This window comes from Homo sapiens, chromosome 1 (assembly GCF_000001405.40).
Source record: "Homo sapiens chromosome 1, GRCh38.p14 Primary Assembly".
Lineage (NCBI taxonomy): Eukaryota > Metazoa > Chordata > Mammalia > Primates > Hominidae > Homo > Homo sapiens.
Genome location: NC_000001.11, coordinates 173,399,600 through 173,426,427, shown reverse-complemented (window position 1 = coordinate 173,426,427; position 26,828 = coordinate 173,399,600). Strand labels below are relative to the sequence as shown.

The 26,828-nt window shown below is 43.4% G+C and overlaps 1 protein-coding gene and 2 long non-coding RNA genes across 4 annotated transcripts in view, besides 8 other annotated features; all 3 read left to right on the top strand.

Annotated features, from left to right (window-relative positions):
- The window catches only part of PRDX6-AS1 (PRDX6 antisense RNA 1), a 43,574-nt gene extending 34,935 nt beyond the window's left edge, over window positions 1–8,639 (top strand). The window contains exon 2 of the long non-coding RNA NR_125960.1: window positions 7,806–8,639. This is a non-coding gene — a long non-coding RNA (PRDX6 antisense RNA 1). The remainder of the gene's footprint in view (window positions 1–7,805) is intronic.
- Window positions 1–26,828, top strand: part of TNFSF4 (TNF superfamily member 4) — a 277,864-nt gene that overhangs the window by 24,306 nt on the left and 226,730 nt on the right. Inside the window, exons 1-2 of one of the 2 annotated variants that reach the window (XM_047429902.1) lie at window positions 16,416–23,827; window positions 24,006–24,169. The exons of the other annotated variant lie outside the window; for it this stretch is intronic. Coding sequence (XP_047285858.1) covers window positions 24,152–24,169 — 18 coding nt within the window. The 5' untranslated portion in view covers window positions 16,416–23,827; window positions 24,006–24,151. Of the gene's footprint in view, window positions 1–16,415; window positions 23,828–24,005; window positions 24,170–26,828 lie in introns of those variants that run through there. 2 annotated transcript variants of the gene reach the window in all.
- The window catches only part of LOC100506023 (uncharacterized), a 242,096-nt gene that overhangs the window by 50,728 nt on the left and 164,540 nt on the right, over window positions 1–26,828 (top strand). The gene's annotated exons all lie outside the window — the stretch shown is intronic.
- Window positions 6,049–6,148: an enhancer, noted in NCBI's record as "active region_2111". NCBI's record gives its function as "activates an Ori minimal core promoter by ATAC-STARR-seq in GM12878 lymphoblastoid cells {active_cell/tissue: GM12878}" and the evidence as "EXISTENCE:reporter gene assay evidence [ECO:0000049][PMID:35858748]".
- Window positions 7,907–8,246: an enhancer, noted in NCBI's record as "active region_2110". NCBI's record gives its function as "activates an Ori minimal core promoter by ATAC-STARR-seq in GM12878 lymphoblastoid cells {active_cell/tissue: GM12878}" and the evidence as "EXISTENCE:reporter gene assay evidence [ECO:0000049][PMID:35858748]".
- Window positions 10,055–10,104: an enhancer, noted in NCBI's record as "active region_2109". NCBI's record gives its function as "activates an Ori minimal core promoter by ATAC-STARR-seq in GM12878 lymphoblastoid cells {active_cell/tissue: GM12878}" and the evidence as "EXISTENCE:reporter gene assay evidence [ECO:0000049][PMID:35858748]".
- Window positions 10,135–10,264: an enhancer, noted in NCBI's record as "active region_2108". NCBI's record gives its function as "activates an Ori minimal core promoter by ATAC-STARR-seq in GM12878 lymphoblastoid cells {active_cell/tissue: GM12878}" and the evidence as "EXISTENCE:reporter gene assay evidence [ECO:0000049][PMID:35858748]".
- Window positions 11,725–11,774: an enhancer, noted in NCBI's record as "active region_2107". NCBI's record gives its function as "activates an Ori minimal core promoter by ATAC-STARR-seq in GM12878 lymphoblastoid cells {active_cell/tissue: GM12878}" and the evidence as "EXISTENCE:reporter gene assay evidence [ECO:0000049][PMID:35858748]".
- Window positions 11,835–11,994: an enhancer, noted in NCBI's record as "active region_2106". NCBI's record gives its function as "activates an Ori minimal core promoter by ATAC-STARR-seq in GM12878 lymphoblastoid cells {active_cell/tissue: GM12878}" and the evidence as "EXISTENCE:reporter gene assay evidence [ECO:0000049][PMID:35858748]".
- Window positions 12,575–12,624: an enhancer, noted in NCBI's record as "active region_2105". NCBI's record gives its function as "activates an Ori minimal core promoter by ATAC-STARR-seq in GM12878 lymphoblastoid cells {active_cell/tissue: GM12878}" and the evidence as "EXISTENCE:reporter gene assay evidence [ECO:0000049][PMID:35858748]".
- Window positions 15,180–15,729: an enhancer, noted in NCBI's record as "active region_2104". NCBI's record gives its function as "activates an Ori minimal core promoter by ATAC-STARR-seq in GM12878 lymphoblastoid cells {active_cell/tissue: GM12878}" and the evidence as "EXISTENCE:reporter gene assay evidence [ECO:0000049][PMID:35858748]".

The window sequence follows — 26,828 nt, the reverse complement described above, 5'->3', positions numbered from 1 at the left end:
TAAGTATGGCATTTTGACATGCTGAGTATTTTGAACTAAAGAAGCAGCCATGGAAACAAGGTATCTCTGACCACCTCCTGTCCGCTGTCTCTTGCCTATCTGCCTCTCCTGAAGCACAGGGAGAAAATTTTTCTGAAGTTCCCATATCTGACAAAGGGAAGCACTTTTTCTGAAGTTTCCATATCTGACTAAGGGAAGCTCCTCCAGAAGGAAGCAACTGACTTGAGCCCCACTCCCTATAATCTCATCAAACAGGGAAGACTGACTCGCAGGAAGGAACGTTAGAGTTGACGCCACACCCAGAGCCCAGACGAACTTTGTTTCAGGTTATTATCTGAGTATATAAACTTCTATTGATACAGCATGTTGGATTATTGGGTACTCACTTTCCTGTGATGCTCCATGCACTTGATAAGTCTATATGCCTTTTCTCCAGTTAATCAGTCTATTATCAGTTCATTTTGAAGACTCAAACCTCAACAGGGGAGAGAAAGAGTTCTTTTGTCCCAGTAAGGACTTTCACATCTTTTGGGGACCATATCCACATAACTGAGGCCAGAATGTGTGAAAAATTCATCAAGAGATTTACAAGGAATGAATGCAGGTTGTAGAATGTGGGAACAGTCCATGGTTTGGTCACAGTGTCCAGGCTCAGCCTCCTCGCTCTAGTTCATAGAACCACCTGGAACACACAAAGGCTGTGTGTGCATTAACCATTTACTCTATCATGTTTCTTTCTTGAACAGGGCTGCATTTTTAACTGCCTGATGTCCTTTTCTGTCTGTTTTTATGATTGCTGGCTCCTCCAGCTGTGTCCCAAACAGATTCATTGACTTTGCTTCTAAATCTGCTCTTCTTCCCCATATCACTAGTTATGTTAATGGCTTTGCCATCTTCCTAGAGCCAGATTTCAACCTCATTATTTACCTCATCTAACATGCAATTATTTGCTAAATCCTGGGGATTCCATTTCCACAGGAGCTTTTCAATCTATCCTTTCTTCCCTATTCCCAGTGCTATTCTCTTATTTCAGGCCTCAAGTTGCTATTTGTGGATTATGAAATAGTCTTTCTAAATGACCCCCTAGCCAGTCTCCATAGCTTGTTTTTCCTTTTCTGTCAATGGTCACACAGAAACAGCTATTCTTATGGAGCACTCTAAGTCAGTAATACCCTTAACCTTCAAACCACTCCCTGAGCTGCACTGAGCCAAGTGTAAGCCAGAAGGCAGAAGTTCAAATTCACAACCTATAAAAAAATACCAAGACATCATCGAAAATCAAATCCACAGGGAACTTTTGTACCCAATTAAAAGAAAGGAAAGGACTCAGATTAGCTGCAGGGTCATATGTGGCTGGGTGGAATATTGACAATTCCTGGGACAGTGGAGGAAAGGCTAGGAGTCATTGCATGACTCAATGCTCAACCTCTCCTTTGAAAAACTTGAATATTTAAAGAATAAGAAATATTTAAAGAATCTCTGATTGAAGGTGTGCCACCTTATTGCATGCCTGAAAATCCACCTGTCTGGTCGCATTCTTCAGATGAAGCAACTGAGGCTCAGAGGATTTAAGTAATTTGCCTGAGGTCATGTAGACAGTAAGTGGCAGAATTGGAATTCTGTTTTAGGAATTCAAAGTTTCATATTCTTTCCACTGTATGACCTGGTTTCATCCACATTTGCAACTTCATTTTCCATTCTTTTCTTTTTATCTTAATGTTGCAGTAAAACCAAATTCCTCACTCTTTTTTGTGGGACCTGGAACTTTTCCACCTTTATATCTTTTCTCATGTGGTTCCCTCTGCCTAGAATGGCCCAGAACCTATCTTAAGCCGTGAAAATTGTACCCTTGAAAATCCAGCATCAACAGCATTGCTTCCAGGAAGGGAACAGACAGTTTCTCTCTGGCTTTAATGCACCCCTTTCATAAGAACTCATAGAATCACATTGGGCCCACCGGCCCACAAAGATCCCTACTTTGAAGTGATAAGCACTAGTAGCAGCTCATAGCTTGTTTATGGCTGTTTCCAGTTTGTGCCTTTCGTTATAGATAGTCATGCATAGGTCTTCCTCTTTTAGTGAACACATTGTTCACGAGGGAAGAGCTGTGTTTGATTCATCTTTATGCTTCCCATAGAGTCTTGCCCATGAGAAGCACTCAAAATACGTGTGGACTAAAGAAGCAAGTAAAGAGAAGAAATACTTTGTCTAGAATTGCCTATTTCTTTCTGGTGTGGTCTGAATGTGTTCCCCCAAGTTCATATGTTAAAACTTAATCACCAATGTGATAGTATTAAGACGACAGGCCTAAGTCCTGAGAGCAGAGCCTTCCTGGATGGAATTAGGGTCCTTACAAAAGAGCTTGAGGGAGTGTTTGTTCTTTTCTGTTCTTCTGCCATGAGGATACAGCATTCACCCCCCTTTTTGCCCTTCTGTCCCTCCCACCATGTCAGGACACAGTGCGTAAGGTACCTCCTTGGAAGCAGAGACCAGGCCGTTTCCAGCCACCAAACCTGCTGGCACCTTGATCTTGGATTTCCCAGCCTCCAGAACTGTGAGAAATAAATTTTTTATTGTTTACAAATTACCCAGTCTCAGGTATTTTGTTACAGTGGCATAAACAGATGAAGACACTCTCTAATTATAAAGGAATTGCCAAGGATAATATTAAAGGCAGACATAGAAGATAGGCATAGTTTTGGTTCACTTTGCTTCCGTGTCTTTGTACAAATTGTTACTTCTCCATCACCGGTGGGATGTTCTCCTTCCTACCCCATATGCTTCCACCAGTTCACAGCTACCAGTTTCTTCAAGACCTGGCTCAAAGCCTAGTCCTTCCTAGGGGACTTCTTTCCTGAGTCCAGACCACTGCAGTTGCCCCTTTATCCAGTGGTCACAAGGCATCCACACAGGCTGACAGTTGCTACCTGATCATCATCACCAGTCATCAAGCTGTTATTGCATACTTGGTATATGAAAGGCTCTATGTCATGTGCTGTGGGGGAGGGAGGGAGAGCTTTGCAGAGGAAGTGGGATTCAAGCAGGGTCTTGAAGGCTGTGTTTTAATTAAAGAGGTGGAAAAGAAGGGGAATAAAATAATGGACAACATTGAAGATCAACTTCTACTCTTCTTGTTATTGGCTATATAATTTTGAGAAAAATCTTTTAATCCCTGTGGAAATCCATTTTCTCATATGTAAGGTGGGAGTAATAAAATCTATTATTTTAGATTTAGGGAGGGTGCTTATGAGGATCAATGTGAAAGCCCCATGTATTGGTGAGAATGAATTTATTTGCAAGTGATATTAATAACTTAATTAAGATATAACATGTAAGGAGGCTGAGGCAGGAGAATCGCTTGAACCTGGGAGGCGGAGGTTGCAGTAAGCCGAGATCTCACCGCTGCACTCCAGTGTGGGCAACAGAGCGAGACTCTGTCTAAAAAAAAAAAAATGTACATATATATATGTATGTAACATGTAACATCTCTTCAGTGGTTAACATGAAGCTGACAAACCTCCTTTCTCCACGACATCAACTCTCTCATCTGGTGGTGTCCACCGTCTTACTCCTGTTGGTTGAAGATGGAAGAAGTCTTGCATTTGTACTTCCTTGTGCAGGGGCCCACATATGGGTGTTCCGTCATTCCAGTAACTTTACATTGCTTGGTAATTGACTGGTTTTCCAAAGAGAAGGGAACTGAATTGTCTCCCCCTCCTCTGCACACACTTTGTTGTTTTAAGTCTGCACCTTTGCTTGCTGTTGCCTCCACTGCTTGGAATGCGCCATCTTCTCAGCCTCAGCCTGGTCAGCAGTTACTGGGTCAGTAAGAGTCAGCTGAGGTCTCACTCTGTGAAGTTTCCCTGACCTCATTTTGACCTCCTAGACTGGCCAAGGTTCCCCTTTTCTGTACTCCCATGCCGTACTGGGTATTGCTCTCTCCAGTGCACAGTTATCACACCATACTACAAAGACCTGCCTCTCTCACTGGGCTCTCCATCCCTTTAAGGCTGGCACATAGCACTCACTCATGACATGGTTGTTGAATGAATGAATGGCCTTCCTCCATTCTCTCCCAGTCCTTTTTTTTTTTTTTTTTTTCACTCTGGGCACCACCATTCCTTCTCTCTCATTCTGCATTGTTTATGGCTTGTTAGTTATTAATGCAAAGCCATTTCTGGGTCTCTAGACCCATTGGTAATGGCCATTGGTAATGTCTCTAGGTGTTAATAATAACACTAGCTCACATCTACTGAGCACTTACTATTTGGCTGGCACTGTTCTAAGCACTTTGCATGTTTAAACTCCTTTAAACGTTCCTTTGTTGCCGCTTTTTTTTCTGCTAGGGACTAACCTTGACATTGTGGGGGAGAGGTGTTCTCGTATAGCTGTGGGACTGTAACATGGCTTTATTTTCCTATTATGTGCAGGACAGTAAATCCTGCAGAGGAATACAAGTTGACTAGGTCTGTCATCACTCAAATACTGGAAGATATGGCTGGGAAAAAACCAACAACAAAAAGTTTTGATATCCTCATAGTGCAATGACATTACAGTTTTATTTTGTTTTGTTTTTTTCTTTATGCGTAGTTCTAAATTACTGTATTATGTTTCAGGTAATTAAGCCAGAAGAACAAATTGGGATGGACTGTTGTATTTACATTTCAGTTTACTAGAGGTAGCCTTGAAATAGTTACAAAAATATGAATATCAGTGGGGAAAAAAATAAGGGGGATTTTCATTTTTTTTTTTCCAGAAACGATAAATTGGCAAGGAAGACAGATACGGGAAAATCAGTCATGAGAATTTGTCTTTCAGTGACTCTTTCTTGGCTGGGAAGAAAAGCTTTTCTTCTATTTAGTTGAGAACAGTGACAAGGATTATTTTACTTGAGGATGGCAGATTATTTTACCAGCAGCTGGCAGATGAGAATAATTCCCTAGACAACAAGGAGGGGCAGTATGGTAGGGAGGGAACCCGGTTCGGAGGGTCTGGGGTTCACAGCTCCACAGTGCTGCTTACCAGCTCTTAGCCTTCATTACATTGCTTACCTTCCTGGAGGTTCAGTTTCCTTATCCATAAAATGGGGGTCAGGTTGCCAAATTTATCAAATAAGAATCTAGGATGTCCAGTTAAAGCTGAATTTCAGATAAATAATTATTTTTTAGTGTAAATATGTCCCATAAAATATTTATGTCCCATGCAATAACTATGTCCCTAATGGTGCGTGGGACATATGCTAAAACATTATTTGTTGTTTATCTGAAATTCAAATTTAACTGTGCGGCCTATATTTTTTCTGGCAACCCTAAATGCGGGCAGGGGCAGTGGTGGTGACATGTAGGGATGGTGTGAGGATAAAATAATACCACAGTTAGGTTTTATCGCAGTGTGTAGTCTGTGTGTAGTCAACACATAACTATAAGTAGTGACTGTAACATAACTGTAACTGGTGCATAGTAAAAAACAAATGGATATTATTAGTATAATAGTTGTTATTAATAAAGGTCTTTAAATGACAATTGGCCATACAGGAGCCTTTGGGGAAAAGTTTCTGACTCTAAATTAAGGGAAGGTAAATTATGATCAAGATCTGGGAATAAGATTTAGACTTACACAGTAATAATTTGAGGAAGAGAAAGACTTAGTAAATTAGTTATGTAATTACATAATTAACAACTTGGGAGGTTTTCTTTACACGTTTATTCCCTAGGGCATCATCTTTAAATTATATTTAGTTTTTGCTAAGTTGACCAGTTTGTGGTTTTAAGTGTTTACTTTCTTTTCTTTTGAAATGTAGGGAAAGCATATTTGACATCATCTTAAAGAAATTATGTAGCCATATAAAACCGGAGGGTAGGGTCTACTGGCCAGGAAAAAAAAAGGCCTTTACTGCCACCTGGTGGCCATATTCTTTAACTGCAATGTGCCTAAGTGAGGCTGGAAAGGAAAGCGTTGGAAAACATGCTAAACCCAGAGGGCACCAAGGCCGCGTCATGACAGTAAGAGCCGTCAAGTACTGTGTCCTTTCCCTCAGTTCTCAATCTCTCACAGCTTGAGGCTTGAGAATTAGCAGCTGGCTACGAGAGGTGGAGGAGAGAAAATGGTGAAGTCCATGCCTTCCTCCTTGGTACCGAGTTTCCAAACCTGAAGTGAAGGAGTCTGAGAGGGGAGAAGCTTCAGGTTGAGTAGACTGTTTTTTACTTTTTTTTTTGTTTGTTTGTTTTAAAGAGCCTCTTTATTTAATGGCTCAGAGTGGCTAGAAAATCCGTGGTATTGGTTAGCTTTCATCTCAAGTGCAGGGACAAGGCAAATCCAGAGAGAGGAGTTGAAAGGACAAAGAAAAAAGAAAAAAAATTGCTTTTTACGTGCATTTTGCTGCATGCAGCTCACTCAATAAACATGCGTTAAATGCATAAATATATCATGAGGTAAAAATCGGGGGAAAGGTGATGCATTGATGCTGATAGAGGACAGGCAAACTGCATTCCATTTGGACCGCAGCCTCTCATCCCCCCCCCCGCCACACAAACTAAGGTCAAAATCAGGGAGGGAGTCCAGGGTAAAGTTATCAGTAGAGTCAGCTCTAGGAGCTATAGTTAATCTATTTTAAAAAATCTTAAAAAACCCATAAGTCCATTATAGCAGGGACATAAAGCAGTCCTAGCCTCCTGACCCTGACCCAGCCATGGCAATCAGGGCTGCTTCCTTTTATTCTCCCTTGTGTCCTCATGGGTCTTTCCAAGCCCTGCAGGGAAGGGTGGAAGCTGGTTCCATCAGTGCCTCTCCCCCAGCTTCCACCCTCCTCTCTCTTCTGTGACCTCTCAGTTTTCCTTCTCTGTACCCCAAATCATGCCTGTCTTAGTCCATTGCTGTAACAGAATTCTACAGACTGGATCATTTATAAAGACAAGAAATTTATTGCTTATAGTTCTGGAGGCTGGGAAGTCCAAGCACATGGTGCTGGCATTTGGTGAAGGCCTTCTTGCTGCATCCTCACGTGGCAGAGGGCATCACATGGCAAGTGGGCAAGAGCAGGCTTGTCCGCTTGGGTTACTCTAACTCTTCTTTTTTTTTTTTTTTTCTGAGACGGAGTCTTGCTCTGTCACCCAGGCTGGAGTGCAGTGGTGTGATCTCAGCTCCCTGCAAGCTCCGCCTCCCAGGTTCAGGCCACTCTCCTGCCTCAGCCTCCCAAGTAGCTGGGACTACAGGTGCCCGCCACCACACCCGGCTAATTTTTTTGTATTTTTTTGGTAGAGATGGGGTTTCACCGTGTTAGCCAGGATGGTCTCGATCTCCTGACCTCGTGATCTGCCCGCCTTGGCCTCCCAAAGTGCTGGGATTACAGGCGTGAGCCACAGCACCCGGCCAGGTTACTCTAACTCTTCTTATAAAGCCACCAGCCCCACCGTGGGGGCCACACACTCATGGCCTTATTTAATCTTAATTACCTCTCAAAGGCCCTACCTCCAAATGTCATCGATATGTGAATTTGGGAATTAAGTTTCCAGCACATGAAATTTGGGGGTCACATTCAAACCATAGCAATGCTTAACCTTAGAATACTGCCTGGCATCTGCCCAGGCTTCCACAGCCACTACCTCTGGGACATGTTGGGATCTCTGTTTACATGTAAGGCTCGCCATGACCATTACACATCTGTGAGTCAGTGTAGGGTCCTGGTGGAAGCCCGGTCTTGGAGTCCCTCCATTATGTTTGCTACCCTGGCTCTCCACCTTCAATTTCTGGCTTCTCATTTTGGACTATGATGATTTTCTTGTTGTTAATTTTTTTTTTTTTTTTAGTATGAAAGTTTTCAAGACGCCTACAAGTGGAAAATGCACTCCTCCCAGCCAAATCAAGCTTCGCCAGATTCCTTACAGCTGTGTGCAGTGAAATGACTAATGAAAGAGCCCTCTGCTGCTGGTGGAACTTTCACATATGGCACTGTTATGCCACTCAGCAGGACCCGACCCTGGTATTTACATATTGGATGTCACCCCAAAAGCCCCTGACCAGGGGGTTTCCGGGATGTAATAAGAATGCCACTCTGGGCTTTGGAAGGTGCACCGTATGCACACCCATACTATAGGGCAGGGGTTAGCATTTCAGACCCCTGTTCCTCCCTTGACAAGCAAGTGCTTTTCTCCAGGGAAGACGTTCAGGTTCATTCATAGATCCATTGGTGCCGTGGGCAGCTCAGTAACAATAGCTCTGCTGCCTACCAGCTGCTGGTGGAGGTGTTGAGAATACCTAATGAGGAAGTCAGGGCCCCTGCGTGCTTCAGCAGAGCTGGATGCCTGGCATGGCAATCAATGGACACAAACCTTTGGATAATTTCCGTCCTTGGCGGTGTGTTCTATAGCATAGGTATGAAGTGGGTGCTCTGGGAGCTCAGAAGAGGGGCTCTTCTCTTAACTTATGGGTGGCCAGGGAAGGCTTCCTGGAGCTCAAATGACTGAGTGGAGTCTTCAACATTAAAAAAAAAAAAAAGAAAAAAAAAGTGCTTCCCTCCCACCCCCAGTTAAAAAGGTAATACACCTCATTGAAATAATTTAAACTTTACAGAAATGTGTTCCTTTAAAGTTCAGAGAGTAAAGAGGAAGTAATAAAGCTGAAATAGTAGAATTTCTAATTAACTGGAGCCTGTAGCTTTCTTCCTGAAAAGGGAGTGGTGTGTGTGCATGTGTGAGTGTGTGTAGGTGAATCTGTAAAGGATGGAGTAGTACTAAAAAGAGGGAGGTGAAGACGGAGGTGAGATCTCATCTTTGTGCCCTGAACCTCTTTGTTATAATGTCAGGCAATGAGAGAAATCAGTACTCACCCTCTATGGGACTCTGGCTTTTTCAAACTTGGTTTTCTAGGTTTTGGTCTTGGTTATTGATGGCTTGTAACTTCAGAGTCTCATTGCTGGCCACGCTTCCACGTGGTTTATTAAGATGTTTTCCTAAACAAAATTGATCTCTCCCTAAAAAAATTATAGGTCTAGCTGTAAGATGTTAACAATATTTAACCTGCTACAATGCCAATAAGAGTTCTTGTTTATTGAAGACTTTTTTTGCACCAGCTATGTGCTAAGAGCTTTACATTTGTTACCTCATAACATCAACCCTCACACGAACCTTATGAAGCGGGTATTTCATTATTCCCACATCCCAGATAAGGAAGCTAGGATTATTATTGCTGCACCCGCAAAGCTGATAATCAGTGGGGCTCGGCCCCAAACCGAGGTGTCTCTGACTCCTGGGTCTATGCTCACAAATGCACCATTCCTCTGCATTATTTCTCAAAAATATTTGGCTATAGGAGCATTTTCAAAAGTGAGCACCACTTACCTCTTAGTACTGTTATTAGCATTCCGTGGGACACAATTTGGGAAATACTGCCCCAGGAAAATACTGCCCTGTCTTTAAAATAGAGATAATAATACAATCTCCATATTGTGATGATTAAAAGACGTTTCAGGAAATGGGTGCTGAGGATACTTACCTTCCACCAGGAATGTGTGTGTGCTTTAAAAATAACATTTGTGGCCGGCCACAATGGCTCACAACTGTAATCCCAGCACTTTGGGAGGCCGAGGCGGGTGGATCGCTTGAGTCCAGGAGTTTGAGATCAGCCTAGGCAACATGGCGAAACCCTGTCTCTACTAAAAATACAAAAATTAGCCGGGCATGCTGGCGCACATCTGTGGTCCCAGCAATTCAGGAGGCTGAGGTTGCAGTGAGCCAAAATGACATCACTGCACTCCAGCCTGGGCAACAGAGTGAGATCTTCTCTCTCTCTCTCAAAAAATAAATAAATAAATAAATAAATAAAAATAAAAAAATAACATTTATAATGTCCTCAGTGAAAGGAAGCAATGTTTTGGCCAGGATGATAATGAAGATATTGTTACTGGGCTGGGAGACCCTTGGGCCCTGTTGGGGAGGGCCCTGTAAGCTGCCACTGCCCACCCTCCACAGGTGCCCCTTTGGTCCCCTTCCCTCTCCTCTGCCCTCTGGTTCTCTCCGTCATCCCTCTGTAGTGCTTGTCTTTGTTCAGGAAGATGCTCCATTTGCCTGCCTCTGGGCAGGGGACTTGCTTTAAGCCACGCTGCTGCCTACTCAGGCCAGCCCAGGATGTCTCCTTTGCAAATTTGGACCATGTTCTGAGCCCCAGCTGTAGGCCAGAGATCTGTGACATATTGGGCAGACCACCCACAGCCCAGCTGCTGCCACTGCTTAGCCTACATGTGCCCAGAGAGCTACACTATCACCACCCACCACATCTCACCGACAGACCCTGCCTTTAGAGACAAGGACCAACCTAGGAGAGCCTGGGTTGGCTCTACCTCCCTGGGCATTGATTTGGACAGCTCACCAACTCCCAAAGGAGCCAATCTTCTGGCCTGGTTGGCTCCCAACCTACTCCCTGCCCCATCGGTTTGCTGCAGAGGCCCGGTGGACCTGGCAGTCCCACATCATGACATTCCTTTTCTTCCATGCACCAGTTTTGCACAGCTGTCATTTTTCTTTCATAATTTCATCAGTCCCACAGATACGCACATTTAGGCAAAAATACTATGAACAAAACAGACAAACAAAAACAGGCCCTCAACCCAGCTCCTGAATACCAGTTAGAAAGAGCATTTGCATTCTTCTCAGTAAATATCAAGCATACTAAAAAAGAAAACAAATTGTTTCACTTACATTCTTACTTGCACCTGTGAGGGAGCCATTGTTACTGTCATTTCATGCATGGAAAGGCTGAGGGTCACAGAGGTTAGCTGATTTGCCTAACGTCGCAGAGCTGAGAACACCAAAGTCAGGGCCAGGATAATTATCCAGTGTTTGTCCCTCTGCCAAGTGCTGCCCCTTGGACTTGGGGCCCTCAGGCCATCAAGACTGGGGCCCTTTGCTCCTGGAGTGTCCCAAATTGATAGTGTAAGGGTGGTTCCGATTGAGTCTGACATGCTGCTAGGAACCCTCTGTTTTCTTCCCTTTATTCTCTTCTATCTTCCTTTTCCTAAGGCTCATCCCACTGTCCATTCTTCATAGGCTTCAAGGTGCTCTTTGACTTTTCTCTGTAGCTAGGCCATGGGACTTTCAGGTGTCACCCATCCTCCCACCCACTCACTTGCCTCTTGACAGTGCACCAGCTGAGGCACAACTATGTGTTGGGGAGATATGTAAGGAGAAATGTGAGACGTGGTCTTGCCCCTAATAAACTGTTAAAGAAAAATTATCCTGATATCTGTGAAAAACAGCAACGAACACTTTATTCAAGGCTATTGCAGTAAGGGTCAAGATTATTGCAATAGGTGAGAGGATTGAAACCCAAATACATCAGGGATAAGGGGGGATTTACAGCCAATCAGCACGCTGGGGGAGTGGATGGAAAATTACTAACAGGAACTTGATTAGGTGGAGGAAGAGGAGCTTGATTGGATGTTGAGGGTGAGAGAATCTCAGTAAATGGACTTAACAAGATTCATTGCTAAAACTTGGCTCATCAGGTCAAGGGCAAGGCCTAGTTGAGAAGAAGGCTTCAGGGAACCCGACTAAAGTTTGGTCAAGGAGGGAGTCTTTGCCAGCACTCACAAAGTCATATGAGAGTCAGGACCCAAACACAGGACCCAAGCTGCTACGAGGCAGTGATGTGCCAGCCATGGCATGGCTGAAGCTTGGAGAGGAGCCAGTGGATATATCTGGGTTATTCCATCCCCTCGCTCCAGGGCTGACTGGCAGACAGTCACACTGGCTTCATCTCAGGTTCATTCATTTCTCACTGCTCTATGATACACCATACTTTTCTTCTACTTCATACTTTGAAGCTTGAATTTCCAAGATTTGATAAGAAAGACTGAAAACCATAAGCAGACTGAAAAGTGCCAAGGCTTTATCTAGATCTTGGACAAGAACTTTAACCTCATGTTTCTTGTTTGCAATATTGAGACAATACTTGTTACAGATTGAATTGCGTCCCCCAATAATTCATTTATTGACTTAACCTGCAGTATGACTGTATTTGGAAACAGGGCCTCCAAGAAGGTAACGGTTAAATGAGGTCATAGAAGGTGGGGCCCTAATCTGGTGTCCTTGTAAGAAGAGGAAGAGATACCAGAGATCTTTTCCTCTGTGCACACACAGAGGAAAGGCCATGCAAAGACACAGTGAGAAGGTGGCCGTCTGCAAGCTAGGAAGGGAGGTTTTACCAGAAACAGAATTTTCTGGCATCTTGACCTTAGACTTCTTACTTCCAGAACTGTGAGAAAATAAAAATGTCTGTGGTTTAAGCCCTCCAGTCTGTGGTACTTTGTGATGGCAGCCTGAGCACACTAGTACAATACCTATCCTGTGGGTTTACGATGAGAACTGAACATAAGGTGAGTTGAGGACCTAACTGCAATTCACACGTTGGCTTGTCCCCCTTTCCTCCTGTCATGTGATTTGTAGGGTGTTAAGGGTCTTTTGCCAGCAGACACCTTCCTTGTGACCATATGATGGTGTGGAAAATTCACACAGTAGAAGCATTCTTTTGGATTCAGGCTTTGCTTCTCTGTATAAACTAAAAGGGGGAATTTTCTGAAAGCATGTTATTATCAGTTAGGATTCCTGGTTTCAAGCAGTGTACATGGATTGGCTGGTTTAGGCCAAAAAGGAACTATTGAAAGGATATAGACTGGGGTACAGGATTGGCAGGAAGGATGGAGGATCAGATGTGGGGCCTGCCAGCTGGCAAAAGGGCCAAACGTCACACCTTAGAATGGGGCGTGAGGACTGCAGGGCTATGCTGCTGGGCGCCGGCTGCTGCTGCTCGCTCCTCTGACCCTGTGAACACTGGCCTGCTGTGACACTGCTGGACTAGACTCTTCTATGACCAAGTCCTCCACACCGATGTGCCCTGTGGTCTCTGTGATTCTGGAGCGCTGCTGTCTCCTTGGCTGAGCTTAGATCATGAACACTGGCATTTTCAGCACTGAGAGTGGGAGGCAACTCTGCCTCCTGTCAAGATTCATAAGGTGGGGAACTTCCCCAAACAATTAAAAGCAGGCTCAAAATGCCAGATGGTCAAAAAGAATAACAAGTTCCCCCACAGATACAGGGAAACCTTTCAGAACCCCCACATAGGAAGTGCAGCTTCACTCACAGGAGTGAGAACAAAGAATTGGAAAGCCGACGGCTGGTTACTCTGCATCTCTCTGCCCCTGTCTCTCTGTCTCTGTGTCTCTGTCTTTCTCTCTCTCCTATATTTTCCAGCTCCACTTGCTAAAGGTAAGGCCCACCTCTGTCCTGACCATTAGAAATTAGTTGTCTCCCTTAGAACATCTTTTTCCTCATCTTCTGCAAATACTTTTCAATCCCCCTTGGAGATTCCCTCCTCTGTCCATTTTTGGTCTGGGTGGGCTCCATCCTCAGCCCTCAGGATGGGCCATAGGACCCCGTCCCAAGCCAATCAACACACTATTCCCTTGGATGCAGGAGTGAGTATGTGACCTAAACAGCCTCGATTCCCACCCCCTTTTTTATTGAACTCAAACTTATCTGTTGCAAAGTGTACAAAGTATACAACTTGATGAATTTTACATAAAATCCGTTGTATACATCTGTGGAATCATTACTGAGATTGAGATACTGATCATTTCCATCAGCCCAGCACCTCCCCTTGTAGTCCTTCTCTGTAATACTCCACTCAAAGATAATCACTATTCCGACTTCTGTTACCATTAATGGAAATTTTACCCATTTTTAAATTCTATATGAATGGAATAATATGTAATCTTTGGTGGCTGGCTGTTGATCTTTCTGTTACTGACTTGCAGCAGTTCTTTATTTTGGATATGAGTCCTTTGCTAAATACATATATTGCAAATATATTTTCTTAGCTCATAGTTGCGTTTTGACTCTCCTAACGATGTCTTTTTAGGAATATTAGTTCAAATCGCTAGTCTTTCCTATGGTTAATGCTTTTAATTTGTTCTATTTAGAAAATCTTTTAATGCTTTTAATTTGTTCTGTTTAGAAAATCTTTGCACACTCTGAGATCATGCGCAAGTTAATGACTTTGAAGGACGAAGAAGTAAAATGTTTTTGTTGCATTTGAGATTGTGAGGCAGTGAGGCTGAGCCAGAAACGAAGACAGAAAGCAGATAGACTTGTAGGGCTGGCCTTGAGATGGGGCACTGTCACAGGGTGAGTCTGAGCTTTGCAGGCACTGTCTATTTACTATAGTTGTGGCTGAAATCAGAGGCAGGCCAAGTGGATGAGACATGGGGCAGTTGACCTCAGAAGAGATTCCTTTAACTATTTCCTTTTTTTTTTTTTTTTTCTTGAGATGGAATCTTGCTCTGTTGCCAGGCTGGAGTGCAATGGCGCAATCTCAGCTCACTGCAACCTCCGCCTCCCAGGTTCAAGCAATTCTGCCTTAGCCTCCTGAGTAGCTGGGATTACAAGCGCCCACCACCATACCCAGCTAATTCTTTGTATCTTTAGTAGAGACGGGGTTTCACCGTATTGGCCAGGCTAGTCTCGAACTCCTGACCTCGTGGTCTGCCCGCCTCGTCCTCCCAAAGTGCTGGGATTACAGGCATGAGCCACTGCACCCGGCCAACTATTTCCTTTTTAAAATTTTTTTATTTTTATTTTTTGAGAGAGTCTCACTCTTTGGCCAGGCTGGAGTGCAGTGGTGTGATCTTGGCTCACTGCAACCTCTGCCTCCTGGGTTCAAGTGATTCTCATGCTTCAGCCTCCTGAGTAGCTGGGATTACAGGTGTGTGTCACCATGTCCAGCTAATTTTTTTGTATTTTTAGTAGAGATGGAGTTTTGCCATGTTGGCCAGGCTGGTCTCAGACTCCTGGCCTCAAGTGATCTGCCCACCTCAGCCTCCCAAAGTTCTGAGAATACAGGAGTGAGCCACTGCACTCAGCCTAACTATTTCTTGATCAAATATTTTATTGAGCTCTTCTGCTGCAAGATGACATCCTCATGGAATTTATATTCTAGAGGATTTTAGAGATTATTTTAAAATACCTTCTTATAGTCCAGATTAGGAAGCCAAGGTGAAGACATGAAAAATAATTTGCTTGTCATCACAGAGCTAGGGAAGAAGCACAGCTAAACCAGAACTACAGCTGGAACCCAGGTCTCCTGGATTGAACTGTCCCCGCCCCTGCCCCTGCCCCTGACACTAGTCCAGCAAAGAAAGACCTGAGGGGTGCTGGTGATGAGTGATGACTGCTCTGCCTCAGGCTGAAGATAGAAGCAGCCTATCTCAGGTGGGTGGAAATTTTCCTTTCTTCCTTTGACCATGGGCAAAGTGATATGCCCTGGTCCGCAGCAACAGAGACTTCAGGAAGCCCACACACGTCAAGCGGCCAAAGCGGACCAGTGTCAGCAGGGGGAAATCAGAGGGACTTCCCCCAAGTCCTTCCTGTCAAAGAAAGAAGCATGAGAGGCCTTCATGAAGGTGAAAACCACACATTAAGGACTAGTCCAGACTGGGTACATGTCTCCCCAGTGCAGCTGCTACCCCTTGGGTTTTACCCCAGGACACTGGGTTCCGTCCTGTCATGGTGGTCAGTGCTGGAAAGTTGGGGTTTAAAGCTGTACACAGAGCTTCAGGCAAGTCCTAGGCCAAAGTTCAGTCCAAGGAGCACCAAGGTCTTCTCACTAGCAGCAGGTAGGAAATGATGGACATTGGATGATAACCTGGAGGCCAGTGACATGGTGAGACCACTTCTGACTCCCTCATTTCCCATCTCTGACATCACATCTCCACCACGTGGGCTCACTTAGACATGCTCACAACTATTAAGGTACCACTGGGGGCTTCCTATGACCAAGTCCCTTTAAATGTCTTTTGAATGTTCCCTCCCATTGTGAGAGGAAGGTAGTAATAAGGTGGTACCAAAATAGAATCTTGACACCCATTTACAACTTTTATTTGAGAAGAAGAAATGGGGAGTTGATGAGTGAGTATACGGAGAACCAGTGAGTGAGTGAATGTATATATGTATCTATTTACTTTCCTGGGCCCCAGTAACCTTATTCCTTGAATTCTTGTTGAACCGCAAATTTAGAGCTTCTTTGTAGGTTAGTCTGGTGATTCACTGTTGGTTTGTGGGTGTCAGACATGCAACTGTGACAGCTGTCATCATCTTCTGTTTATGCTGGATTGTGGACTTCTTAAGATCAAGGCCTGTGTCTTTTTTTATTTTTTATTTTTAAATTGAGGCAGTGTCACACTCTGTCACCCAGGCTGGAGTGCAGTGGTGCAATCACGGCTCACTGTAGCCTCAACCTCCAAGGCTCAGGTGATCCTCCCGCCTCATTTTTTGATTTTTTGTAGAGATGAGGTCTCACTATGTTGCCCAGGCTGGTCTCAAACTCCTGGGCTCAAGTGATCCATCCACCCTGGCCTTCCAAATTGCTGGGATTGTAGGTGTGAGCCACTGCACCTGGTTTTTTAAAAAATTTAAGTTTATGTTTTATTGAAGTATAATATGTATACAGAAAAGAGTACAAACCTTGAATGCAGCAGGAGGGTGTACATGTACATAAAGGACTTACACCCGTGCACTCAGAGCCTAGATCAGGAAGCATGGAGAGCTGCGGGAGCTCCTCAGGGCTTACTGCCAGCCACCACTTCCCCTTCATCCTCCTGCCAGCGTAACCACTGCCTGCACTTCTCACACTGTAGATTAGATTTGCATGTGGGAGTCATATTTTTATGCCAGAAAAGAATACTTGATTTTTAAGAAAAAATCACTAAAAGCAAATGTCCTTCAGGGAATACACAATAGTTCAGTTATAAATTCTGTAGTCTTGGGCTTTACCTTAAAAAGTTTGATGACTTTCAATTTAATTTTTTCTTCTTATTTTGAAATAATTTCAATCCTAAAGAAAACTGGCAAGAATAGTATAATGACTTTTTTTTCTGAACTGTTGGAGAGGAAATTATTGCATGATGCCGTATCACTTTAATATTTGAATGTATCATTCCTGGACCCAAGGACATTCTTCTATATAAAAATAATACAACTATCTAAGTTATAAAAGTATTAATAACATTAATACATTACTAACATTGAATCTGCAGACACCATTCCAGTTTCCCCAGCTGTCCCAATAAATGTGATTATCGCAGAAGTTCAGGATCAAGCACTGCATTTGGTTGTTGTGCCTCTTTGACCCTCTCAGAGTAGGGGAGTTCCTCAGTCTTTCCTTGATTCCATGACCTTCACATTTTAGTAGATTACAGTTATTCTGTGGAATGCTCCTTCATTTGAGTTTGTCTCATATTTCCTCAGAATTAGATTTAGGTAATGCTTTTCATTTTTGGTAGGAATAGCAGAGAAGTGATGCTGTGTATGGTCTTCTCATTGCATCCTACAGGTGGTGCACAATTTCAGTTTGTCTTATTAATGGTGATGTTCACTTTGATCACTTAATTAAGAGGTGTCTGCCAGTCCTCTTCACTGTAAAATTATTATTTTTTAAAAAAATTTGTAAATATTTTACGGAAGGTACTTTGAGACTATTTAAATATCCCATTCTGGCCAGGTGCAGTGGCTCATCCGTGTAATCCCAACTCTTTGTGAGGCCAAGGAGGGTGGATCACTTTAGGCCAGAAGTTTGAGACCAGCCTGGGAAACATGGTGAAACCCCCCGTCTCTACTAAAAATACAAAATTTAGCCAGGCATGGTGGCGCATGCCTGTAGTCCCAGCTACTCGGTAGGCTAAGGTGGGAGAATCACCTGGGCCTGGGAAGTTGAGGCTGCAGTGATCGAGCCACTGCACTCCAGCCTGAGTGACAGGAGTGAGACCCTGTCTCAAAAGAAAAAAAAAACAACTCCATTCTGCATGAAATGTTCATCCATTAGTTTTAGCATCCATTGATATTTCTTGTCTGAAACCATACTATTATGATGGTTGCCAAGCAGTGATTTTTTAAATTTAATTATCCATTCTGCATTTAATTAGTTGGCATTCTACTATAAGAAAAAACTTACTTTCTTCCTTATTAATCAATCAATTATTTATATTAGTATGGACCCATGGAAGCTTATTTTATCTATTGGGTTCTAATCTGTTTTCATCAAATTGTTCCCAATTTGGCCAGTGTTCCTATCATTCTTTGTATATTTTCTTGCCTGTTCCTATCATTCTTTGTACATGTCCTTGCCTTCTGGAACAACAAGATATTCCAAACTCATCTTGTAATTTTCCTGCCATTTCTCCTGAGGGGCCTGGCTCTTTTTCATGGAAAATGGTATTTAGAAGTTGTCTTAGTCTGTTTGGGTTGCTATAACAAATATCATAGACTGGTTAGCTTATAAACAACAGAAGTGTATTTTCCACAGATCTGGAGGCTGGTAAGTTCAAGATGAGGGTGCCAGCATGGTTGGGGTCTGATGAGGGTTTGCCTGTGAGATGCAGATTGCCAACTTTCTGGCTGTGTAAGGGGCAAGGCAGTTCTCTGAGCCTCTTCTATAAGGGCATGAGTCCCATACCTGGACCTCTGCCCTGATGACCTTATCACCTCCCAAAGTCCCCACCTCCTAATACCATCACTCTGGGGATTAGGATTTAAATATATGAATTTTGTAGGGGATAAAAACTGTCAAACCATAGCAGAAATCAAAATATGGATGATAGCTGTGTTCATTGCTATTGGGATGTCTCTGCTCCCAGGCTCTCAATGTATAGAGCTAGGACACACACACACACACACACACACACCCATTTACATCTAGTTTTATATCTGTATATTACAGGAAAGCATGAATTCATGCTGATAGTGATGATTTTAATCTACAGCAGCACAGATTCATTCTAGTTTTCACTTTCCAGATTTGTAACTTTTTTTTTTTTTTTTTTTTTTTTGAGGCAGAGTCTTGCTCTGTCACCCAGGCTGGAGTGCAGTGGCATGATCTCAGCTCATTGCAACCTCCACTTCCTGGGCTCAAGTGATTATTCTACCTCAGCCTCCTGAGTAGCTGGGATTACAGGTGTGTGCGACCACACCCGACAAATTTTTATACTTTTTATGGAGACGGGGTTTCGTCATATCGCCTAGGGTGGTCTCAAGTGATTTGCCCACCTTGGCCTCCCAAAGTGCTGGGATTATAGGTGTGAGCCACCGCGCCTGGCCAGATTTGTAACTTCTTTTTCTGACTGTGAGAAGCTGGTTACCTTGATCTACCCTCAGGTTCTGACACTCCACACGGACTGTGCTAATATCCTCCTCATCCTTCTTGGGCCCCAACACCCCAGCCAGGCTGTTTGGTCTGCTTTTCTCCCCTCCCGCACCACCTGCCTCCCCAGTGGCCACTGCCTTTGCTCCCTGCACAGCCATCAGCCTTACTCCACTCAGGTGCCAGCAGTCTGCACCGAGTGAGGCAGTCACCCTTCTCATCCTGCTGCTGCTGTAATATCCTGCCTTGCCATTGCTACTGTCTCCCCATCCCCCCAACTAGATTCCCCTCCTCGCCCTGCTCAGAACCCAGTACCACCCAACAGGCCGCTGTCACTGTTCACTTTCACTTTCACCCCACGGCCACAGGCTCTCCATTCGGAAGCTCTCCGTAATTACCTCTCAGGATTCCCACACCTGGGAATTCTCTCCAGGTCCCAGCTACTTTGATCAGCTCCTTTGAGTAACATTTGGACCGATTCATTCAGGACAGGAGGCAGGAAGACAGAGACTGTCGCAGGGCAATCGCCCCACTGGGCACAACAGACACAGAGCCCAGGGCCCAGGGTAATTTTAGGGTCCACGACAATGTTTTCATATTAATTGCTTTTAAATTCTGAAGAAATAGTGAGTATAATAATTAAGAACATAGCAATGAATCCGGCCTGAATTATATTTATCTTTAAGACAATGTAAAATAAAAATTTTAATTTTTTTAATGGAAGAAGGGGTCCATGAAGGCAAAAGTGCCTAGGACTCATGGAAGTTATAATGCAACCCTGTAATGTCTTCGTTAGCTATGTAGGCCAAATTCCCTGTAGAGTTCCTGGAACATAGTAGGTATTTAATAATTTTTGTGAAATAAGTAAATAAATAAGTGGTCAAGCACTGGGGCATATAGCTCTTGTTTTTCCTATGGCAGACAAGAATAGAGTACAGTAAATAATAATTAATGATGACCTGTTTACTCAAATGAGTGCTTTTTTTCCCCCTAGTAGTTCAGAGCTATCCATATATTTATTTGTTGATTCAAATATTTATTGAGTGCCTACTATATGCCAAAGCCCTGCTTCCTTTGAGTGTGTTTGTATGGTATTGCACAATGTCTACCTCAGTTTTGGGAAAGCAGGGTGTGTCTACAAGAATATAGCCTTGAACTAACTTGCCAGTGTGAAAACTGATCTGGGCCCACCCTCCTTACCAGATAACTCAAATGCACAGGGCCCACAGGTGAGAAGTGGGTCGAGATCAAACTCTAGATCCAATAACACACACCCACGTGCCATGCAGCCTTTTCTGTCCTGTTGAGATGAGCTAACTCCATATTTCGCAGTATGAGTCACAGTTGAAAATGCCTACAGCATCATAACTGGTTTAGTTACTAGTTCTGTCAATTGCTTTTTAAACAATAATAAAATCAAATCCAATGCTCATGCTGGAAATTTGGATTTATCAATGAGGTACAATGTGAGATGCATGAGATGTTTAGGGCCAGAATTGTTTACCATCTACTCTTTTTATGTAATCTTTGAAAACTTGACAACTTCATTGTGCCAATCTTATTTAATTTAAATGAGTTGTACATGATTCAGACAGTGAATAAACCTAAATTTACCTTGGTACTATGGAAAGGTACCTGGCAAACACATTAATAATGTGTGTATACTTGATTGTATAAGAAATGTTTCATATACTTAAAGTAACATCCCACTTTCAAGTGCCCTCAAATATCTTGGCACAGTGGTTTCCATGTGAGCCCTTAATAGATTCTGGCTCAGGGATTGGTAAACTGTGACCTGTGGGCCAATTCCAGCCTGCTGCCTGTTTATGTGGCCTGTGAACTAAGAATAGTTTTTATACTTTTAAGTGGTTGAAAAACAAAAGCCAAATATATTGTGATGTGTGAAGATTATATTACATTTGAGTTGCAGTGCCTGTAAATAAAATTTTACTGGACCCCAGCTACACCCATTTTGTGTGTTAGTGTGGCTGCTTTTGTCTTATGAAGGCAGAGTTGAGTAGTTGCAATGGAAACCATATGGCCCACAAAGTCGAACATATTTGCAGTCTAGCCCTTTACCTTGGGACTTGCCGTTGGCTGTTTAGGTACTTGGGATGCATCAGTGAGCAAAACAGACAGAAATCTCTGCCCACAGGAAACTTACATTTAATAGGGGAAGATAGACAATGAACATAAGTAAATTATATATAGCATGTTAGAATGTGATAAATGTGAGGCAAGAAAATAGAGCAGAGTAAAATGGATAGGGGTTTTGGGGAAAGAAGGAAGATGTTATAGTTTAAAAGAGGGCAGTCAGGGCTGGGCAGGGTGGCTCACACTTGTAATCCCAGCACTTAGGAAGGCCCAGGCAGGTGGACCACTTGAGGTCAGGAGTTTGAGACCAGCTTGGCCAACATGGTGAAACCCCATTTCTACTAAAAATACAAAAATTATCAGGGCATGGTGGTGCATGCCTGTAATCCTAGCTACTTGGGAGGCTGAGGCAGAAGAATTGCTTGAACCTGGGAGGTAGAGGTTGAAGTGAGCTGAGATCGTGCCACTGCACTCCAGCCTGGCGACAGAGCAAGTCTCCGTCTTAAAAAAAAAAAAAAAATGGCAGTCAGGGATGGCCTTATTGTAGAGGTGACATTTGAGCAAAGACTTGAAGTAGGTGAGGGCATGAGCCATGTGGGTGACTGGGAAAAGCATCCCAGGCAGATGAATAATTACAGTTCCTTATAGGGATGTTGTGTGGATTAACAAAATGATACATTTAACTAAGAATAGTACCTGGTACATGGTAAGTTCTAAAAAAATAGTTATTTGCCTTAGCACAGCTGGCTGTAGGTGCTACTTCCCTCTCTGCAGTAGGCTGCTGCTCTGAGTTACTCCCTGTGGGTAATTCCATGGGGGTCCTGATAACTTAGTTTTATGTGTCCCAGGATTAGCCATCATCCCTGGGGCTTAGCTCTCAGGGACAGAGTTGTCCCTAGAGAATCATGGTCCCAGGAGATATCATATCTGTGGTCTGCATAGTTATACAGATTCCAAGAGTTTGTCACTGCATGCAAGGCAAAGGGACTTGCCCCATTATCACACAATAAGTCAGCAATGGAGCGTCAATAGACATGGGGTCACGGTCTCTTGCTTCCATGTCTAGTGCTCTATGTTCCTGGACTGCATTCCACGCTCTGCAATGAGCCTATCCTTATATATCTTATTTCCTCCAATAGATTTTCAGGTCTCTTTGTGCCGGTATCATTTCTTACTCTTTTATATTTCCCCCTTCAGGCACTAAACAAACAAACACAAAATGAAAAAATGAAAACTCTCTTTTTTTTTTTTTTGAGACACAGTCTTGCTCTGTCGCCCAGGCTGGAGTGCAGTGGTGTGATCTCAGCTCATTGCAACCTCTGCCTCCCGGGTTCAAGTGATTCTCTTGCCTCAGCCTCCCAAGTAGCTGGGATTACAGGCACCCGCCACCACACCCAGCTAATTTTTGTATTTTTAGTAGAGATGGGGTTTCACCATCTTGGCCAGGCTTGTCTTGAACTCCTGACCTCGTGATCCACCTGCCTTGGCCTCCCAAAGTGCTGGGATTACAGGCGTGAGCCACCGCGCCCAGCTGAAAACGCTTGAAAGACTACTCAGTTGAAAGACTACTCAGGGTTTTGTTTGATGATACCATTTCAAATCTCAATTGTTACGTATGTAGATCTGTCAGAAAATGTCAGTGTGGAATTGATTGTCCTCTGTTCCCTGCACTTACATAAAGCATGGGGAGGTAAATTATCCTACAAATTAGGGAGCTTCTAGAAAAGACCCAGACACTTACATTGGCGAACTCCTTTATGTTGCAAAGCTCCTGGAGCATAAAAATGCATCTATGTGTTTGGGCCTTGATGGTCTCTGCTGGCTAGCAGTAGCATCAGGCTGCTAGATAACAGATGGCATTTCTAGGGTGAAAAAATGGCCAGATGATGCCAGACAAGCACTCAGGTATCCTTTGGCCTAGTCTGGAGTGTTACTCAAAGTGTGGTCCATGGACCAGCAGCCTCAGTTATCACCTGAAAACTTGTTAGCAATGCAAATTCTTGGGCCAGGTGTGGTGGCTCATGCCTGTAATCCTGGCACTTTGGGAGGCTGAGGCTGGAGGGTCACTTGAGCACAGGAGTTTGAGATTAGCCTGGGCAACATAGGGAGATACCATCTCTACAAAAAATAAAAAATTAGCTGGGTATCGTGGTGAGCACCTGTGGTCCCAGCTACTCAGGCAGCTGAGGTTGGAGGATCACTTGAGCCTGGGAGGTTGAGGCTGTGGTGAGCCGTGATTGTGCCACTGCACTCCAGCCTGGATGCAGAGTGAGACCCTGTCTCAAAAAGAAAAAAAAAAAATGCAAATTCTCAGGCCTCACCTCAGACTCCCTGAATCAGAAACTCTGGGTATGAGGCTCAGGAGCCTACAAGCCCTCCAGGGGATTGTTTGAAAGCCACTGGCTACTTTTCTGTCCTTACAGATTTCTGGCCCAAACTCACCCTTCTCTGCCATGTGCCTAAGCTATATGATGGGGTCATCAAGGAGCTTCATTTGCTGAACATGGTGATGACCTTGAAGCAGGATTGATGAGAAATAGTGCTCTGGGGAAAGGTGAGATTTGTACCCCTTTTCCAGTTGGCTTAATACGTTCCATCTGACTGATGAAGGTGGGATACATGTCAGTGCAGAGCATGGCCCAGGGCATATTACAAAATTAGGTCAGGTGTGGAAATAAAGGGAACTTCAAAATCTGAAATTATTACCTCTGGTTGGGTTTTGGTTGTGGCAGGATGTATACACAAGCTGGGCTGTGACAGCAACAGTATGGAGTCCCAGAAGCTCTACTGTGGTTTGTGAAGGCTGAGATTTGAAAAATCCTCTTGCAAGGCACAGAAGGCCAATTAATAGTAGGTGAAGTGGCTTCTCCAAGGTCCTATGGCAAATCAGCCTATGGTAAGTACAGGTATTATTATTTCTGCCTCTCAGGATTGCAGATGTGTTGTACCTTTGGCTGAGGTGTGGGAAGAATAACTTAGGAATGCATCTTTGACCTAGGGTAAAAGAATAGACATTTATTTGCCCACAACCTGCTCCCAATAGAAAGTTTCTGAGCATAAAAAAAGAAGCTTAGGATTTGAGGCCAATGGTTAAAAATATCATTGTAAAGAAGCCATGAATTTTGAAGACATATTAACAACACAAGTGCAAATGGAAAATACGAAACTGACAGAGAGCTCTAGCTGGCACAAACTTTACACTGGCCACATAACAAGGCAAAAATAAGGATGATCTAATGTCTGACAAACCATTGCCCATATAAGATAGGACATTAGCAGCATTTTTCAACAAATGGACTTGTTATTAATGACAAGCCTTTCCCAAATATATAGTTGTATTAACCTGAGTTCTCCAGACATATATGTATATGTGTGTGTATATGTATGTATATGGGTGTGTGTGTGTGTGTTGTGTATGTGTGTGGAATTGACTTATGTGACTGTGGAGGCTGAGAAGCTTCATGATCTGCTGTCTGCTAGCTTGAGATACAGGAAAGCCAGTGGTGTAGTTCAGTCTGAGTCTTGAGGCCTAAGAAGTTGGGGAGATGATGGTGTAAGTCTCAGACCAAGGGCAGGAGAAAACAGATGTTTCAACTCAAGTGGCCAGGCAGAAGGAGTGAGTTCTTCCTTTTTCCACCTTTAGGTTTTTTCATGTCCTCAACAGACTGGGTGATATCAGTCCTCATTGGGGAGGACAGTCTGTAGATCCAAACACCCATTTCATCTGTAAACACCTTGACAGACACACTCACAAATAATCTTTGGCCAAATATCTGAGCTTCTGTGATCCAGCCAAGTTGACACATAAAATTAACCATCACAAGTCCACCCCTTGCCAACTTGATACTCATACGTGCCTCCTGAAACCATACTTAACCTCCAAATAAAGATGATAACAAGTTCATAATTCCACATGATATTACTATCCTGTAGACAACAAAATGTATAACCTTTTTCCCAGAAGAGGAGTTAAAGCACTTGAGTGAGGTTTACCCTTCTTGAAATCTTATAACTTAAACACTACGATGTAAAATTAACAAAACTTAAATACTACGATTAAACAATACATTTTATGTTATATAATAAGGGAGTAAGAGAGGAAAGAAAGCAAATATATATGTATATATATATATGCACACACACAATTGTATTCATAACAAAATAAGGAGGAAATAATCATGACAATTAGAGTCCTTGTTTCTGTAAGTAGTCATGTGGTCATTGCTGGCATTTATAACTACTTTCTATCACTACTTATTCGTATTGCCTTTGCCTTCAGCAAGTTTCTCAGTTGGTTGTGATTCTTTTCCTGGTGAAGTGACCCCAACTTCATTAGTGAGGCATCTGGGCCATTAGTAGTTCTGTCTGGATTGTGCTGTAGTTTTCCACTGACCTAATCACAGGGCAGAGTAATAGTAAGAGATGCCCCCAGGGATCTCCTGTATGAGAGATATACTCTTCCTTACTCCATTGTGAGTAGTAGTTCATTTTCCCTTGGGAGTAAAGATCAATCACCCCAGTCAGCAAAGGAACTCCTTTTTTTTGTCTGTTGATTCAGAGGCATGAAGAGCCCAAAGTGGCCAGGTGGCAGTTTTAATTTCCAATTCAATGGAACCATTGTTGTTCATTGTCTCCTGGTTGAAGCATTTCTCCTTTTGAAATTAAGACCTCTAGGCAGGCAGAACATAAAGTTGAAGGAACAGGAAGGAAACATTTTACTGGTGTAACTGGAGTAACAGTAAGAGGTGACACTCCTGTTCCTATCCTTTGATTCCTGGACCTGAGAATCCTGGCTATGGGAGAAACAGCACTATCTATTCCTTGCTGATTCAGAGCATATATAGTTTTCTGGGGGAGTCTTGCCCAGTTCTGCAGATATTGCCACCTAACTAGTGCTATAATTGAGTCTTCAAAAGACCATTCCAATATTCTGTCAAATCAGCTGCTTCAGGATGGTGGAAAACACGGTAAGACAAGTGAATTCCATGCTACACTTTATTTGCTGTGAAGTGAGTTCTTTGATCAGAAAAAATGCTGTGTGAAATGCCATGACAGTGGATAAGTCATTCTGTAAGCTTATGGATGGTAGTTCTCGCAAAAGCGTTGTGTTCAGGGAACACAAATCCGCATCCAGAGTGTCTATTCCAGTAAGAACAAAACACTGCCCCTTCCATGATGGAAGCCATCCAGTGTAATCAGTCTGCTACCAGGTACCTATCTGATCACCTTGGGGAATGGTGCCATTATGGGAACTCAATGTGAGTCTCTGCTGCTGGCATATTGGACACTCAGTGGTAGCTGTAGCCAGGTCAATGTTGATGGAAGTCTATGTTGCTGAGTCTTTGCATAACCTCTATGCCTGCCACCATGGCCACCTTGTTTATGAGCCCATTGGGTGATGACAGGGGTGGTTGGGGAAAGAGGCTGACTGGTATCAACAGAATAGGTCACCCTGTCCATTTGATTATTAAAATACCCCTCTGCTGTGATCACCCTTTGGTGAACATTCACATGGGACACAAATATGTTCACTTTTTTTTTTTTTGTCCATACAG